The 17375-nt window shown below is 45.4% G+C and overlaps 1 protein-coding gene across 1 annotated transcript in view, besides 1 other annotated feature; it reads left to right on the top strand.

Annotated features, from left to right (window-relative positions):
* Positions 153-447: an enhancer, noted in NCBI's record as "tiled region #61; HepG2 Activating DNase unmatched - State 1:Tss, and K562 Activating DNase unmatched - State 1:Tss". NCBI's record gives its function as "activates a minimal TATA promoter and a strong SV40 promoter by Sharpr-MPRA in HepG2 and K562 cells {active_cell/tissue: HepG2 | K562}" and the evidence as "EXISTENCE:reporter gene assay evidence [ECO:0000049][PMID:27701403]".
* The window catches only part of SNRNP200 (small nuclear ribonucleoprotein U5 subunit 200), a 31209-nt gene continuing 14145 nt past the window's right edge, over positions 312-17375 (top strand). Inside the window, exons 1-24 of the mRNA NM_014014.5 lie at positions 312-465; positions 990-1153; positions 2528-2699; positions 4142-4334; positions 4805-4860; positions 6431-6529; positions 6891-7043; positions 7156-7255; positions 7438-7574; positions 8138-8221; positions 8322-8495; positions 8788-8925; positions 9167-9322; positions 10200-10370; positions 12349-12542; positions 12763-12886; positions 13958-14107; positions 14356-14466; positions 15043-15174; positions 15344-15532; positions 15862-16059; positions 16479-16631; positions 16741-16821; positions 17112-17195. Coding sequence (NP_054733.2) covers positions 421-465; positions 990-1153; positions 2528-2699; positions 4142-4334; positions 4805-4860; positions 6431-6529; positions 6891-7043; positions 7156-7255; positions 7438-7574; positions 8138-8221; positions 8322-8495; positions 8788-8925; positions 9167-9322; positions 10200-10370; positions 12349-12542; positions 12763-12886; positions 13958-14107; positions 14356-14466; positions 15043-15174; positions 15344-15532; positions 15862-16059; positions 16479-16631; positions 16741-16821; positions 17112-17195 — 3258 coding nt within the window. The 5' untranslated portion in view covers positions 312-420. The remainder of the gene's footprint in view (positions 466-989; positions 1154-2527; positions 2700-4141; positions 4335-4804; positions 4861-6430; positions 6530-6890; positions 7044-7155; positions 7256-7437; positions 7575-8137; positions 8222-8321; positions 8496-8787; positions 8926-9166; positions 9323-10199; positions 10371-12348; positions 12543-12762; positions 12887-13957; positions 14108-14355; positions 14467-15042; positions 15175-15343; positions 15533-15861; positions 16060-16478; positions 16632-16740; positions 16822-17111; positions 17196-17375) is intronic.

Raw genomic sequence — 17375 nt, 5'->3', positions numbered from 1 at the left:
GGAAGGAAAGGTCTTGGGACAGGACAGGGGCTAAGCAGCCGTGCATTCGTTATGATGTGAGGGGTGCCGGGGGCTGGAGACTGAGGTCGGGGAGAGCACGGGCCCTGGGTCCTTAGTGCCAGCGGGCGGCCAGAACCAGAGTGCGGGGGTCTAGGGATTCGGGGACCCAGACGCACCAGGCCCACATATCCCGCTCAGAAGGGTGCGGAAAGCCGCGCGCACACGGCAGGGACACGCCCCAGACACGCCCCGCCCCGCACTTCTGGGGCGCGACCCGGAAGCGGAAGGGAACCCGTTTCTTTTCCTTCCCCAGTGCGTCTTTCCTGCGTCGTTCCGGCGCGGCGGGAGCAGAGATCTGCGGCCGTTTGCAGCTTGCGGTAGGGAGGCGTGGTGGTCTGAAGCCTCCGAGCAGCCGCGGCCATGGCGGATGTAACCGCCCGTAGTCTGCAATACGAGTACAAGGCGGTGCGTTTGGTCTTGGGGAAGGATTCCAGGCTCAGGAGTCCAATGGGGAGGGGGAGGCTGAAAAAGGGAGTTTCAGTCTGAAGGCCTACAGGAGAGCCACGAAAACGAAGGGGAAATGGAATCGGGGTGAAGGTGGGGGTTATACGATGACGTGAATAACCTACTGGGGTCTGGGGAGCGCTAAGATCTCTCTAGGAGGAGTTTCTCGAGTACCTTCAACGCTAAGCCCTCCCCCTTCCACACGTCACTCCCAACCCACTCACTACTTTTCACAGGTGTGGGTTATGATGGGCGCTGTTAGGAACAAGAATTGTTTAGCTGATTCGACAGCGCATAAGACTTATTCAGCTGTACGCTTCTGCACAGCGTTATACTATGCAATTCTTAAGGAAAATATATTTTTATTACGATTAGTGATGATAAGCAACTAGTTACTACGATTTTTTCCATCAGCTGGGGTAACTATGATAGTAGGAATTGGCCCTGCTCATGTCAAAGCTTCAATAATGTTTTGATCTTTTCAGAACTCGAATCTTGTGCTCCAAGCTGACCGTTCTCTCATTGACCGGACCCGCCGGGATGAACCCACAGGAGAGGTGCTGTCCCTTGTTGGGAAGCTGGAGGGCACCCGTATGGGAGACAAGGCTCAACGGACCAAACCGCAGATGCAGGAGGAAAGAAGAGCCAAGTGAGTGCCAAGGGGATACTATTTTTTCCTTCAGATCCAAAGTCTCTTCCCTTTAACATTCGAGCAGCATTTTTGCTGGAATGCTTGGTGTAAGATCAGTGGCATTAAAACAATTCAGTGAAGGTAAAAACAGACCAGGAGAGTTTAAAGATTTTTTGGCCTTAACAAGTGCATCTCAAGTGGAAAATAACTTGTTGGTACCTTTTTCTTACATGTGTGTTTCTGGTCCATAGACAGATCTTAATTTTCTTCAGGGTATTTTCAAGACCCTTGCTATTCCTATGTCCCAGTAATTCGTTTTCCTTTTTTCCCATTACTAACTTCCTACCCCTACTTTTTCCATTTACTCTTGTCCACGTTCTACCTATTTTGTTGTAACAAACTAATTTAAGCATCCATAGTATGAAAGACAGGTTTCTTTCTTAGTTTGCATTTTTTTCCTTTATTTTTTTTTTTTAAGATTTCTTGGGGATATGTTTCAAAAACTTACCTTTACCTCATCATTATCTTTTGATCCTGAATATCTTGGTGTCTTGCTCCCTTTCCTATGATGAAGTTTCCAAAATTCCTAGGCTTAGTTTGATTAAAGTAGTTATGTTTGAAATGAGTTAATACATTATCTCCACTTTGTGCTATATCTTCTTTTCCAGTTTTGTTATACTTTGTTGATAGTCAACGGCAGTAGATTCTGTTAGAGCTTGGTTCTCTAGCTAGAAAGGGAAAATGCATTGGAGAGGTGAAAAACTAGTCAAAATCCTATTATATAATAGTCTCATACAATGTATGAAGGGTTGTACTTTTTTTTTTTTTTTTTTTGAGACGGAATCTCACTCTGTCACCCAGGCTGGAGTGCAGTGGCGTGATCTCTCTCACGGCAACCTCCACCTCCCGGGTTCAAGCGATTCTCCTGCCTCAGCCTCCTGAGTAGCTGGGATTACAGGCGCTCGCCACTGTGCCCGGCTAATTTTTGTATATTTAGTAGATACAGGGTTTCTCCATGTTGGCCAGGTTGGTCTTGAACTCCTGACCTCAGGTGATCCGCCTGCCTTGGCCTCCCAAAATGTTGGGATTACAGGCGTGAACCACTGCACCTGGCCAAAGGGTTGTATTTTTTAAATGAGAAACATCTCATTGTAATGTTTAGTGCATCTAGTGAGAAGATGATAGGGAATTTTTCTTTTTGTCACTGTGTCCCATAAAGAAATACTCCTGCAAGTGATTAAGGCCAAACGGAATCATTTGCTGAGGCTCAGATACCTGTTTTCAGATATTAACTTCTTGCCATGAAGCTGAGGAGAGGAGGGTGGGCTTGATCCAGTCTTCCCTTGGGGACGAAAGGTTCTGCCATTCAATATCACATTGCATGTCCATTAGGCGAAGAAAGCGTGATGAGGACCGGCATGACATCAACAAGATGAAGGGTTATACTCTGCTGTCGGAGGGCATTGATGAGATGGTGGGCATCATCTACAAGCCCAAAACTAAAGAGACTCGGGAGACCTATGAGGTGCTACTCAGCTTCATCCAGGCTGCTCTTGGGGACCAGGTGAGTGTGATATTGTGAAATATATATTAGGTCTTTATTTCATTTTCTGGCATACAGCTTCTAAGATCCTTGGAATCTTCGAAGTGCTAAGTATCTTTTTGTATGCTGATGAGTTGACTGATGGCTGGCAGCACTTAGGTAGTTCAGAATGGAGGCTGGTCATTTAATCAATCATGCCTACATAATGAAGCCTCCATAAAAACCCCAAAAGGACTAGGTTTAGAGAGTTTGTGGATAGCTGCACACATGGAGGTTTCTGGAGGGTGGTGCGCCTGAGAGGGCCTGGTAGCGCCACACCCATTCCCACATGCCTGCCCTGTGTACCTCTTCCATCTGTTGTCTTTTGGTAGGCATCTTTTGTAATATGCCTTATAGTAAAAATAAGTGTTTCCCTGATCTGCTCTAGAAAATTAGTTGAACCCCAAAAGGGGATTGTGGAAACCTCGATTTATAGCTGTATAGTGAGAAGCACAGGTCAAACAACCTGTGCTTGTGACTGGCATCATGAAGTGGGAGGCAGGCTTGTGCGACTGAGTCCTCAGTCTGTGGGATCTGACGCTATCTCCAGGTAGTTAGTGTTGGAACGGAATTGAATTTGAGGACCCCCAGCTTGTGTCCACTGCACAATTTTTGGATTGGTTGCTGGTGGGGAGGAATTGTCACAGAAGCCTTCTGTGTTAATTGTTGTGAGAGTATAGAAAAAAACAAGTTTGCTTTATTTCAGTATTCTCAGAGTGAGGTGGCCAGAGGATGAGACCATGTGTCAGAAAGGGAGAGGGTCACAGCTGGGAGACTGAACCTTTTCTCTGGATCCTCTTGTGGGCTGTACTGGTTGGCAGAAGTGGCTTATATTTACTGAGCACTCGATTTGTGTGGAACAGCACGTGTCTTCCCCCAACCCTACATAACTCCATGAATAGGTGCTGTTAATATTCATTTTCCATTTTATAGAAGAGAGATGTGAGGCAAGAATAGTTAAGTAATTTTCCCGAGTCACAGAAGTAGTATTTGGCAGAGCCAAGATATGATCCAGATAGTTTATCTCTAGAATCCATGTTCCTAACCATTACACATGTGTGATTAGATTGGGGACCATTATGAGTCTGAGGAGCTCTGTTGAGGTGGGTGCTAGAGGAAGTGAGGACAAAGAATTACAAAAGTGTGGCAAGCTAGAGGAGGTCTGCCAAGTGACTACCACCTGGAGTGTGGCAAGCTGTTGTGGAAGCTGTGTCCTGCTGCTTGAGGCCACCTAGCTAATCTTTTTAAAAACAGACAAGTCTTCCTTTAGTTGTGGCATCAGCATTAATGAGAAAGGTCAGAGCCTAGTATGTGGCAGGTTTTGAAGAGGTGTGGCTCTTCACATCCTGCCGCCACATACACCTGGTTGAAGATGTTTTGCCTGTCGTCGTTCTCAATATTGGTTGGTTGTTTCTTGCCACCAGCCACGTGATATCCTTTGTGGGGCAGCTGATGAAGTTCTAGCTGTTCTAAAGAATGAAAAGCTGCGGGACAAGGAAAGGCGAAAGGAGATTGACCTGCTGCTGGGTCAAACAGATGATACCAGATACCATGTGCTAGTGAACCTGGGCAAAAAGATCACAGACTATGGTGGAGATAAGGAAATCCAAAATATGGGTAAGTGCGCGCTTTATGTTCTGATCATGTTCATTGGTTGTTGTTGACCCCTAAACATGCATCTTCTAGCATCATTCATTTAAAAACCTTAATGTCAGTGAGTTCCCATAATCTGTTCTGTGTTTTTTGAAGAGTTACAATTGATGGACACCAGAATCCCTAGATTCCAGCAGCTGTTCCTTACTCTGAGACCCTTTTATTGTGTGGAATATGAGAAAATGTGGGCAGAGCCTTGGGGGCTCAAGTGGTTGAGCAAGCAGAGCTGGGCTGACTCCAAGGCTGGCAGGTGGAGAAGGTCTTGGCAGGAGCAGCATAGGTGGCTCTCTCATGTTGATCATCTAAGTATCTGTATGTGTCCTTAGCACTTAGATCTTTCCTGAGGAGAGGTAGTCGGGGAGGACATTGGCTCCAGAGTGCCTTGTTTTACTAGCCATTCACTGCCCTCTTTTTCTAATCCTTCATTGTTTCAGATGACAACATTGATGAGACATACGGTGTGAATGTGCAGTTTGAGTCTGATGAGGAGGTGAGTGATAAACATACCCAGTCCATTCTTGTTTTTGACGTTGATTAAGGTAAAGGGACCCCTTCTAGTGTAAACAAGCTCTCTAGTTTAAACCAGATAAATTTTATGGTGTTGTATGGGTTTCAGACTTGGGCATTATATGTTCTTTTGCTTAAAAAAAAGTGCAGTTATCTTTTAACTTTGCTACCGCAAATTTAAACTAACAAATGTAAAGCAATATAATTTTTTTTTTTTTGAGACGGAGTCTTCTCTGTCGCCCAGGCTGGAGTGCAGTGGTGCGATCTCGGCTCACTGCAAGCTCTGCCTCCCAGGTTTCGCGCCATTCTCCTGCCTCAGCCTCCCGAGCAGCTGGGACTATAGGCGCCCGCCACCATGCCCGGCTAATTTTTTATATTTTTAGTGGAGACGGGGTTTCACCGTGTTAGCCAAGGTGGTCTTGATCTCCTGACCTCAGGTGATCCGCCCCCCGTCGGCCTCCCAAAGTGCTGGGATTACGGGTGTGAGCCACTGCGCCCGGCCACAATATAATTATTTAAAATATACCAAGTGGATCAGCAAAAAGAAAGAAAAAAGTTAAAGTACAGTGTATACTTTCATTGAGAATGTATCTGCTATGTTTTACTGCATTTTAACCTTATTACAGTATTTTCCCATTTTTCATTACTGTATCTGACTAAAAGATTGCACATTTGCCCTAGAGCACAGACATAGTTTGTACATGGTTAAGTCACTGGGGTTAATGTTTACTGTCTAATAGAATTCCTTGAATATAACTAAATAGGAATAAGTGGGGTACTTTGAGAAAATTACAGTGCCTTAGAGTTCTCAGTGAGTAGAAGTGGCTCCTGAAAGGGAAAATGGAGCCCCGGTATATATACCAAGGCTGGAAGAAGGGGTCGCACGGGGAGAGTCAGAGGACTAGGAGCCAAGACTTCTGAGTTTGAGTCCTGTATCTTGGCAGGTCATCTTGCTTCAGTTTCTCCTTCTATAAAATGAGGCCATTTCAATAGGTGATTGCTAAGCCTCTTCCTACAGTATAGTTAATAGGATTTGATGATTTTAAGTAGCAACAAACTGCTTTGCTTTTAGCAGTTCATTCATTTAACAGTGCTCATTATTGAAGTACCTGTTTTGACTGTGACACTATGCCAGGTACGCCTAATGTGCAGTGTATGAGTAAATAGAGTGGTGAGCAGGCTAAGTGCGATCTCTTCATTCCGGAGTCACCACCTGCTTTCCCAGGCATGCCTCTGTATAGCTCTTTTCTCCTTAGCTGATCACTGTTTTTGAGTGTTGATTGTGTGTGTATTAGAGAGAGGCTATGATCCAGTTGATTGCCATTGTAGCAGCCTAAGGTGAGAAATAGAAAGTAGATATATCTAATAAGTCGTGCTAAGCAGTCATTCTATGTCCACTGGAATAAGGCTGACCTTGGTTCCAATAGGCTCTCGGTTTCACCCCAAAGCCATTTCTCTACCCATTGAGCTAATTTAGGGTGACTTGAGGGAGAGGTTCTGTGGTGATGCAGGATCAGCTCCAGATCATGGTTGAGTTGGGGTCATTTCCACAGGAAGGTGATGAAGACGTATACGGGGAGGTTCGAGAAGAGGCATCTGATGATGACATGGAAGGGGACGAGGCTGTCGTGCGCTGCACCCTCTCGGCTAATGTAAGTTCAGTTTGCTCTTCCTCATTGCTACAAGGTTACTTCTGGGTGTTAGTGCTTCTTCCCCATGCCTAGGTCCTGTTACATTTATTGAGCCACTTTTTGCTGGAGTGAACTATAATAAACACTTAGTGTCTAGAGTTTCTTAAAATTTCTGTCGGTTTTCTTCCTTCCCAAAGATGTATGTTGATGAAATCTTAGTCTGGTGTGCTTCTGAACTCAATATTCCAGAGTTTTTTCCTCTGGAAAGTCCTCACAAGAAGGTGGGCTATGGATTGTCAAGTAGAACTTGGTTGCAGGGTGGTGGCAAAGTGATCGAGGCTGGCAGAGACCTGGTGAGCTAAATGCCTGGTTACTTTTATAGCTCGTAGCCTCAGGTGAACTGATGAGTTCCAAGAAGAAGGATTTGCACCCTCGGGATATTGATGCATTTTGGCTGCAGCGGCAGCTCAGTCGTTTCTATGATGATGCCATCGTGTCGCAGAAGAAGGCAGATGAAGTATTGGAGATTTTGAAGGTATGGCCAAGATGACAATAGTTGTATATTTAGTGTATCTTAGCACATGGGGACAGCGTATGAAGTGGCAGATGGCTTTGGCCTTAATGGTGGTGTTACCTGCTCTCTGCAGACGGCCAGTGATGATCGGGAATGTGAAAATCAGCTGGTTCTGCTGCTTGGTTTCAACACCTTTGATTTCATTAAAGTGTTGCGGCAGCACAGGATGATGAGTGAGTATATGGTGGGGTCTTCCTGCAGAGTGAGTACATATGTGTGCATGTGTGACATAGAGATTCTGTTGTTTTCACAGCCTAAGTGCTTGTTTCTTTTATTTTTCTTCTTTCTACCCTGAGGATGGTTTTTTGCCTTATTTCCTCCTCCTCACTTCCTTTGTTCCTTTTGTTGTGGGTAGTTTTATACTGTACCTTGCTGGCCAGTGCACAAAGTGAAGCTGAAAAGGAAAGGATTATGGGAAAGATGGAAGCTGACCCAGAGCTATCCAAGTTCCTCTACCAGCTTCATGAAACCGAGAAGGAGGATCTGATCCGAGTAAGGACTGGGTTGGTTTATCTGTCTGATTTCTGAGCTAACGGTGGCTAGAAGATTGCAGCATGAAGCTAAATTCATGTTAAAAGTGGAAGTTGAAAAAGTAATTTCCTAAATTCTTTGGGGTTTATCAGTGCATACAGGTTAGAATCAACACATCCACATTGGTTTGGTCATGAGACCAGTGACCTGCTGCTATCTTTCACCAGCACTGTGGGGACCTTTATTGTTTATTTACACAGTAAATCCATGGTGTTTACTAAAATAGAGTAACAGAACACATGTACTTGCTTAATGGAACCCACCCTTCGACCCCTCAGGGGTAGCCCTTGGTACTTAATTATAGAACGTGTATTTGTGGCATCCTTGTACTGCGCATTGCCCCTTTAAAAGTGTTTGTTTGCTTTGATCATTCTGGTGGTCCCCATGTAAAGCACTGTCTTTCTGTTTCACGACTTACTAGTCAGCACCTGTGACTCAAGTATTAGCTAAGCAGGGGCAGAAAAGGACAAGAACCTATGATACTGATGAATTGTTTTTGTGATTTTTATCTTTGTCCACTACAGGAGGAAAGGTCCCGGAGAGAGCGAGTGCGTCAGTCTCGAATGGACACAGATCTGGAAACCATGGATCTCGACCAGGGTGGAGAGGTAGGATCCAGGGCGATTTATTTCCCAGGCCTTGATGGATGGAAAACTCACTTGCTCGGCTTGCTTACTTCCTTTGTGTTTTTGTCTTTCACATTCCCAGGCACTGGCTCCACGGCAGGTTCTGGACTTGGAGGACCTGGTTTTTACCCAAGGGAGCCACTTTATGGCCAATAAACGCTGTCAGCTTCCTGATGGATCCTTCCGTCGCCAGCGTAAGGGCTATGAAGAGGTGCATGTGCCTGCTCTGAAGCCCAAGCCCTTTGGCTCAGAAGAAGTAAGTGAATTGCTTTCTTCAGTTCTCTGCTCAGTTCACCTCCTGGTTTGGATTTCAACCATTGACCAAAATGTAGCCTTGTTTCATATATAGTTTATTTCAGGGCTGAAAGCTGCAACAGAATTTTCCCATTCTGATTTTGAGCCCAGGGGACAATATTGATCTCTGGACTGACCTTTAATGGAAAGTTATGCAAAGAGATTGCCAGGGAACAAAATCCTGGCAATCCCACAATAACGTTTTGCTCAAGGATGCTGCCAACATGATATTGATGGCACTTCTTTTCTTCTAGCAACTGCTTCCAGTGGAAAAGCTGCCAAAGTATGCCCAGGCTGGGTTTGAGGGCTTCAAAACACTGAATCGGATCCAGAGTAAGCTCTACCGTGCTGCCCTTGAGACGGATGAGAATCTGCTGCTGTGTGCTCCTACTGTAAGCGCCACCCTGCCTGCTGTTTTCTTGTAGAATATGGTGTGGAGTTTCCGTTGCAAGATTGTTTTTTATTTCCACCCCCACCCCCTAATTCTTTGTCCTTTGATGGAAGAGAGGTTAAATAGTAGGATAAAGTGCCCAGGACAAGCTCTATTCTCTATTTGGGAAATAAGCCCATGGAAGTTAGGGCAGTGAGAATAACCAGGTGAATAGGCGTTCTCATCCCTGACCTCTCCCGTAGGGTGCTGGGAAGACCAACGTGGCCCTGATGTGCATGCTCCGAGAGATTGGGAAACACATAAACATGGACGGCACCATCAATGTGGATGACTTCAAGATTATCTACATTGCCCCCATGCGCTCCTTGGTGCAGGAGATGGTGGGCAGCTTTGGAAAGGTGAGGGAGTAGAACTTTCCTGCAGAGGATACTGGGTGCACCTATGAAAGTGTTGTGGACAGGCCTGGACCTCACCGCTTCTTGTATTAGGGCATCTCTGGCATGCCTCCTGGGATTGTTGTTATTTTTTATTTTTCTCTCCCCATTTCCAAGATGGAACTTAACCCAGGTACAGAGTTTCTGAAGTAAGAATGTCCTGAGCCATCTTTTACAAGGGTTAGCATCTTTCTTTCATCCTCTCCATGGCAATTTTCTGCAGTTCGTATCATTTGTGTTATTGAAGTGTTTATGAAACATCAAATGGATGTGGATGATAATAGACCTAGTGGTGTATTGTAGGTCTTCTTATCTACAAGTTGCCATTTCTTCCTCTTGTGTACAGAGTTCCCAGAGGTCTTTTTTTTTGAGACAGGGTCTCGCTGTCGCCCAAGCTGGAGTGCAATGGCACAATCATGGCTCACTGCAGCCTTAACTTCCCAGGTTCAAGTGATCCTCCCACTTCAGCCTCCCTGGTAGCTGTGATTATAGACATGTACTACTAGATTAGCTAATTTTTATATTTTTTGTAGAGACAGGGTTTCACCATGGTCTAGAACTCCTGGGCTCAAGCATTCTGCCTGCGTTGGCCTCTGAAAGTGCTAGAATTACAGGCATGAGCCACCATGCCTGGCCCCCAGAGATCTTTTGTCTGCTTTATTTGCCTGAGTTAAATTTGGATTTGTTTGAGGAAGATATGTTCATAAGATCTGATTCGCCTTGTATTCACCTGATGGGTTGATACCTGCTCCCAATGCCCTACACTCCAATTGCCCAAACAGAAAGCATGGTGTCCAGGCCCCTTCAAGCATTCCTGCCTGATGTAGTTTTCCTCCCACAGCGCCTGGCCACTTATGGCATCACTGTTGCTGAACTGACTGGGGACCACCAGCTGTGCAAAGAAGAGATCAGTGCCACTCAGATCATCGTCTGCACCCCCGAGAAGTGGGACATCATCACCCGCAAGGGTGGTGAGCGCACCTACACCCAGCTGGTGCGGCTCATCATTCTGGTGAGTTGGGAGCAGTCGTAGAATATAGAGTCCAGTTGTGTCAGGGCGGGTTTGCTGGGTTTTCATGCGAAATGTTTCTTTGCTGCCTTTTCTGTAGGCACTAGCCTTTGTAATGACTAGTCCTCCAATTCCGTAGGATGAGATCCATCTTCTCCACGATGACAGAGGTCCTGTCTTAGAAGCTTTGGTGGCCAGGGCCATCCAAAACATTATAATGACAGCTATTGTCAGCTTGTGTTTGCCATCTTATTTATTTATTTATTTGTTTGTTTGTTTGTTTGAGATGGAGTCTAGCTCTGTCGCCCAGGCTGAGTACAGTGGCACGATCTTGGCTCACTGCAGCCTCTGCCTCCCGAGTTCAAGCAATTCTCCTGCCTCAGCCTCCCCTGTAGCTGGAATTACAGGCGCCTGCCACCATGCCCAGCTAATTTTTATATTTTTAGTAGAGACTGGGTTTCACTGTGTTGGCCAGGCTGGTCTCGAACTCCTGACCTCGTGATCTACCCACCTCAGCCTCCCAAAGTTCTGGGATTACAAGCGTGAGCCACTGCGCCTAGCCTGCCATGTTATTCTTTATATATTTTTTTATGTCTGAAATATTTTACTACACTTGATCTTAAGCCAAAAGGCCAAGAAGCTATGTCTGAAATATTTTGAAACAAATGTAAACAGATAGACAAAAAACCATCATATCCAACATCATTTAGGGTTTTATAAGTAAAAGAATCCATTCTCTGAGGGAATGAGTGAGGAAGCAGGATATTGTATTCCATATACACAGAAACTTCCAGAGATTAGTGACTAAGTCTGAGTATAGTTTAAGTTGTCTGGGAAAAGCAAGAAAGGAGACTTCACGTGTTGGTTTTCAGTGTTCTGGAGCAGGGGTTGGCAGTCTGTGGGTACTGGCTTTGTTCTGTTGGAACATAGTTACACCCATTTGTTTATGTATTGTTTACAGCTGCTTTTGGCTGCAATGGCAGAGCTGAGTATTTGCAATAGGGGCTGCGTGGGCCAAAGCCTGAAATACTGACTGTCTGGCTTTTTTTTTTTAGACGGAGTTTCACTCTTGTTGCCCAGGCTGGAGTGCGATGATGCAATCTCAGCTCACTACAGCCTCCGCCTCCCGGGTTCAAGCAGTTCTCCTGCCTCAGTCTCCCGAGTAGCTGGGATTACAGTTGCCCGCCACCATGCCCAGCTAATTTTTTGTATTTTTAGTAGAAATGGGGTTTCACCAATCTGATGGCCAGGCTGGTCTCGAACTCCTGGCCTTGGGTGATGCACCTACCTCAGCCTCCCAAAGTGCTGGGATTACAGGCGTGAGCCACTGCCCCCGGCTTTTTTTTTTTTTTTTTTTTGAGATGGAGCATCTGACTTTTTAAAAAAAACATTTCTGGTCCCTGCTTTAGAGCTTTGCTACTTGAAGCCTGATCCATGGTTGGGGTCATAGCAGCAGCAGCATGGAATAGGAGCTTGTTAGAAATGCAGGATTTGTGGCCTCACCCCACACCTGCTGAATACAATCTCCTTTTTAACAACATCCCCTGGCTTTGGGATACTTAATAAAATTTGAGATGCACTGCTTTAGACTATTCAAACTCATCATTTGATGTGTGATAGCTTTTGTTCTTGGGAACTATAACTGCCAGAGGTGAAGCTTCTGATCAGATCATATTTATATCCTTTTTCATAAAGAAGTTTACCTTTAAGTAAAGTTTAAACTCATTTATCTGAGTTTCAGAATTTCTTTATACAAAGTATGTTACTGAACTGTACCAAAGCAACTCATGGTCAGAGTCTGTTACTTTCTGGAGTATTTCATGGGAAATATTGTCTCCATCCTTTGGGCATCTGTGGCTTGGGATCCCTTGTCTTTTTTCTTAGGCATATTAGGTTATATGCCTACAATATGGGACAATTCCAGGAAAAGGGACTATGTATCTCTAGTGCTAGAGGTAATTTCTGTCCTCCAATTCCGTAGGATGAGATTCATCTTCTCCACGATGACAGAGGTCCTGTCTTAGAAGCTTTAGTGGCCAGGGCCATCCGAAACATTGAGATGACCCAAGAGGATGTCCGACTCATTGGTCTCAGTGCCACCCTACCCAACTATGAAGATGTAGCCACCTTTCTACGTGTTGACCCTGCCAAGGGTCTCTTTTACTTTGACAACAGGTATCAGGAAAGACTGGGCAAAGTTCTGCCAAGGTGACCATCCTGCTCTCTTTCCTCTTTTCCAAGGAGTGCTACTGGGTTGGGTTTTAGAAGGGCCTTTGGGTTTTGATGTGGTGTGAATCATAAAGGAGGAATATTGCTCTTGGGGCAGTGAAAAAGACTGTTTATTCCCACAGTATTTTCTGCCAAAGCCTCATTTGTCTAACTGTTGAACTTCTAGCTTCCGTCCAGTGCCTCTGGAACAGACATATGTGGGTATCACAGAGAAAAAAGCTATCAAGCGTTTCCAGATCATGAATGAAATCGTCTATGAAAAAATCATGGAACATGCTGGAAAAAATCAGGTTTGCCCGTGGTTTATGGTTACTCTTGAACCCCATTCTTTCGAATGTTTGATTCACCAATAATTGGGGAAGATTGACAGAAATTAAAAGAGAGAAGACACAACATAAATCACCAATATCAGCTATGAAATGGGATATTACTACAGAACCTATAGCCACTGGAAGGATAATAAGGGAATACTATGAGTAATTTTATGCTCATAACTTTAAAAATTCAGAAGAAATGGACCAGTTCTCCAACAACTACCAGTTAACTAGCAAAACTCAGCCCAGATGAAATAGATAACATGAAGAGCCCTACAACTATTAGAGAGTTGGAGAATTAAAAATCCCCCCAGCAAGCAATCCCCAGTCCCAGATAATTGTTTTGTGCATTCGCATTATCCAGGGTCCCTCCATAAAAGATTTGGGGTCACTTACACTAAAAATGCAAGACAATAAAAAGAGGAAAATGAAAAACTAGAGGGCATTTTACTAGACAGTGTGATAGAATTTTTAAATTGAAAGTCGAGTTGAGCAATGTTAACTAACAAAAAATAAGGAAAAGTGACTGGTTTTGTATTTCTTTTTGTCTGATGAAAAGAAGCATATGAATTTATATGAAGAGACAGATCTTTTCTTGGCACTAAATACTAGGAAGACTTCATTCCCTACAACAGTGTACTAGTCTCAGACTTATTTCCTAAATCCTTTTATAAGTAGTGTAATGTTTTAGTTGTTATTTTGCAGACACATTTTCATGCAGCTTTGACTCTTGTTAGGTGCTTGAACATAAATTCTGAGTTGAGAGGCCCGAATTTGTAGTTGTAGTCTATTTAAAGTTGCTGTTCAAGATAGGATGTTGAAGTTGGTTTAATTTCTCAGCTCCAGGACTGTGAACTTGGTGGGTGCATTCCCTTAAAAGTCTTTCCAGCCGTGTTTAGGCTTCCTCTGAGCCTGCACACATTCCTGCCCTTGCCCCTCTCCAGGACCTTGGCTTCTGGTGGTGATGGTGCAACTTCTGCTTCCTGCTGCAGGTGCCCTGGGGCTGTGAGTATCTCGTGACTGTAGCAAACTGTGGCTTCTCCTTAGGTGCTGGTGTTTGTCCACTCCCGGAAGGAGACTGGAAAGACAGCCAGGGCCATCCGGGACATGTGCCTAGAAAAGGACACTCTGGGTCTGTTTCTGAGGGAGGGCTCAGCCTCCACAGAAGTCCTGCGAACAGAAGCTGAGCAGTGCAAGGTGAGGAGGGGCCAGCTGGGTTCTCTCATTCCTACCTGGCAGCTGTGTCCATCTCAGGCCCCAGACAGCTCCTCTAGGACTGTACTGTGGTATTGTTGTTTCCCATGGGTTAAGGTTGATTGTCTGGATGTGATTATTACTATTCCACATAATAGTTAAGGGGCAGGGTCTCATGGGAGGAGATTTCCTTAGTCCTTGGATGAGTCCTACAGGAAGGCTCGCCTCATCCCCGGTTCTTTGTTCCACAGAACCTAGAGCTGAAGGATCTTCTGCCTTATGGCTTTGCTATTCATCACGCAGGCATGACCAGGGTTGACCGAACACTCGTGGAGGATCTTTTTGCTGATAAACATATTCAGGTGAGGGGGTGCAAAGCGTTTGGAGGAGCAGGTGGGACATACTTCAGAAGATGGGCAATGTCAAGTTTGTGCCATGTTTGCTCCTGGTACTTTATTGCTTCTGGCCCAGCTAGCCCAGGTCAGAGGGTTGTGGTGGACACAATAAATAGAACCTTATGCTACTCTCCCAACTCTTCCCACCTTGCTTGAGTTTAGGATAGTCTGAGAAGCATAGTGAAGCAAGCACTTTGGTGACTTCAGATAGCTCCAAACAGTGTCTCATGGGGGCACGCGTGCCCTTGTCGTTCCCTCTTTCCGGATAGGCTCTGTTTTACCTTTTCTAGTAACTTTAAGGTTGTTTAATACAAGTCTGCACTTGTGCCTCTGGAACCTTGAAATGTTCATTACTGAATAGATGAGGAACCCAAGGAAACCTTTCCTCTTTATTCTGGTGTCACATTGACAAGTACTGGGACCCCACGCGCCCTACCGGCTAGTCCTGAGAGAAGCTCTGAGGCCAACTGCCTAGAGAAGCCAGGGATATTAACCCCTGGTGATGGCATCTGTTCTCCTCATTACCTTGTTTTGCCTCTGTAGGTTTTAGTTTCCACAGCAACTCTAGCTTGGGGTGTGAATCTCCCTGCACATACAGTCATCATCAAAGGCACCCAGGTGTACAGTCCAGAGAAGGGGCGTTGGACAGAACTGGGAGCACTGGACATTCTGCAGGTACAGAGCCTTTTGAGTTTATTCTCAGCAGGGATCAGTATCCTTGCCTGAAATGCAGGGATGCTGGAAAGCTAGCAGATCAGAGGTCTAGTTCTGTAATGTAGATACCTGCATCAAAATTCAGACATTCTCTTGACATAGCATTCTTGGTTCGCTGTCTCTGATCTAGATGCTGGGACGTGCCGGAAGACCCCAGTATGACACCAAGGGTGAAGGCATACTCATCACATCTCATGGGGAGCTACAGTACTACCTGTCCCTCCTCAATCAACAACTTCCTATTGAAAGCCAGATGGTTTCAAAGCTTCCTGACATGCTCAATGCAGAAATCGTGCTAGGAAATGTCCAGAATGCCAAGGTAGGGGAGGACTGCTTGTTGTGCTTCATGCTTTCCCCGCAGACACCAAGGCACCAGGAGTGGGTCGGTCCCTATTGTGCTGCGGGCCAGCAGCGTCCGAGGCCTTCCATCCCTGCACCCACATCTTGGGTCTGGCAGATAGTTCCCCTTGTTACCAAGATCTTAGAAGACGCTTAGATCTTTTTAATAATGAAATGCTAAAAACATTCAGAATACGATGTAATATGCATCCTTGTAGTTGGGAATTAATTTCTAAGCAATTCATGGGAGCCTGTCATTTGGACATCAAGAGTTTCTCCATGCTAAGAACCATGAGCTGTGTCTTGTAGGATGCGGTGAACTGGCTGGGCTATGCCTACCTCTATATCCGAATGCTGCGATCCCCAACCCTCTATGGCATCTCTCATGATGACCTCAAGGGAGATCCCCTGCTGGACCAGCGCCGACTAGATCTGGTTCATACAGCTGCCCTGATGCTGGACAAGAACAATCTGGTCAAGTACGACAAGAAGACGGGCAACTTCCAGGTGCGTGGGGTGAGGGTTTTGAGGCAAAGGTCTCAGCAAAAGTTGTTGGCCCAGGAAAAAATTTTTCAGATTGCTCTCTTGATGTGAGTACTGCCTATCTAATCACCTGTTGCTTAGAACAGCAGAAAAATGGGTAGCTTTTCCCATAACTTGAGGTGGATAATTCAGCTGTCTTGTCCGTGCAGACATCATTTCACTATGGGTCAGCTTATTCTGCTGTTTTTCTTCATGTGCCTGGGCCTGGCACTTGTACTGCTGTGACTTCATCCAGTTGTCCTATTAGGACAATAATGACATTGGGTCATATACTTTACCAAAAAAAAAGTACAAAAAACCTATAGGACAGTAACTTATGGTCCACAGTTAGAGGTTGGAGCTCATTAATAGTCAGCACTGGATTGAGTCTACCTTCTCTCCAGGTGACAGAACTGGGCCGTATAGCCAGCCACTACTACATCACCAATGATACAGTGCAGACTTACAACCAGCTGCTGAAGCCCACCCTGAGTGAGATTGAGCTTTTCAGGGTCTTCTCATTGTCCTCTGAGTTCAAGAACATCACAGTGAGAGAGGTGAGCCTATGCAGCATGATGGGGCGGGGAGTTGGTGCTCACCAAGTCACTGAATGGTGTCCCTCCTCGGCCACAAGGCTTTCCCTTGACCTTTTCCTCCTTGTGGCAGGAGGAGAAGCTGGAGCTGCAGAAGTTGCTGGAGAGGGTGCCTATCCCTGTAAAGGAGAGCATTGAGGAACCCAGTGCTAAGGTGAGCTCCTCTCCTCTTTGCTTTGATAAGGATGAGGATTAAGTGGTTTTCATAATCTTCTAAAAGATGAACCTTGAATTTGGGTTCATGTGTGGTTTCCTGCTCAGTTCTCCTAGTTTTTGCAGCCTTCTCGCATGTTCTTTTTATATGAAATAACAATTATTTAGTATTTGTAAATCAAGACCTGTAGCAAATCTCACCTGGCCTGGATGCTCAGAGCAGAAATGTAATTCCCTTTCTTGGACTGTTCAGTGATTGGTCTCCTGCTGGCTGATTTTGCTTCTTTACAGATCAACGTTCTTCTGCAAGCCTTCATCTCACAGCTGAAATTGGAGGGCTTTGCACTGATGGCTGACATGGTGTATGTCACACAGGTGAGAGCGGAGTTGTATGGCAGCTGTGAGAAGGGGCCTGAACAGTTCAATCCCTGTGTGCTGTGTGCATCCTGGGGAAAGGAGGCCCGACCCTAGTGAGATGGGAGGAGTGCTTAGTTCTGCTCTTGCCGGGTAGTTGGTTGGTGCATGTGTGGTACAGCCACTCTGTAGTATACATCT

Source organism: Homo sapiens, chromosome 2 (genome assembly GCF_000001405.40).
Source record: "Homo sapiens chromosome 2, GRCh38.p14 Primary Assembly".
NCBI lineage: Eukaryota > Metazoa > Chordata > Mammalia > Primates > Hominidae > Homo > Homo sapiens.
The sequence above is the reverse complement of the archived record's forward strand: the minus strand, read 5'-3'. Positions and strand labels throughout refer to the sequence as shown.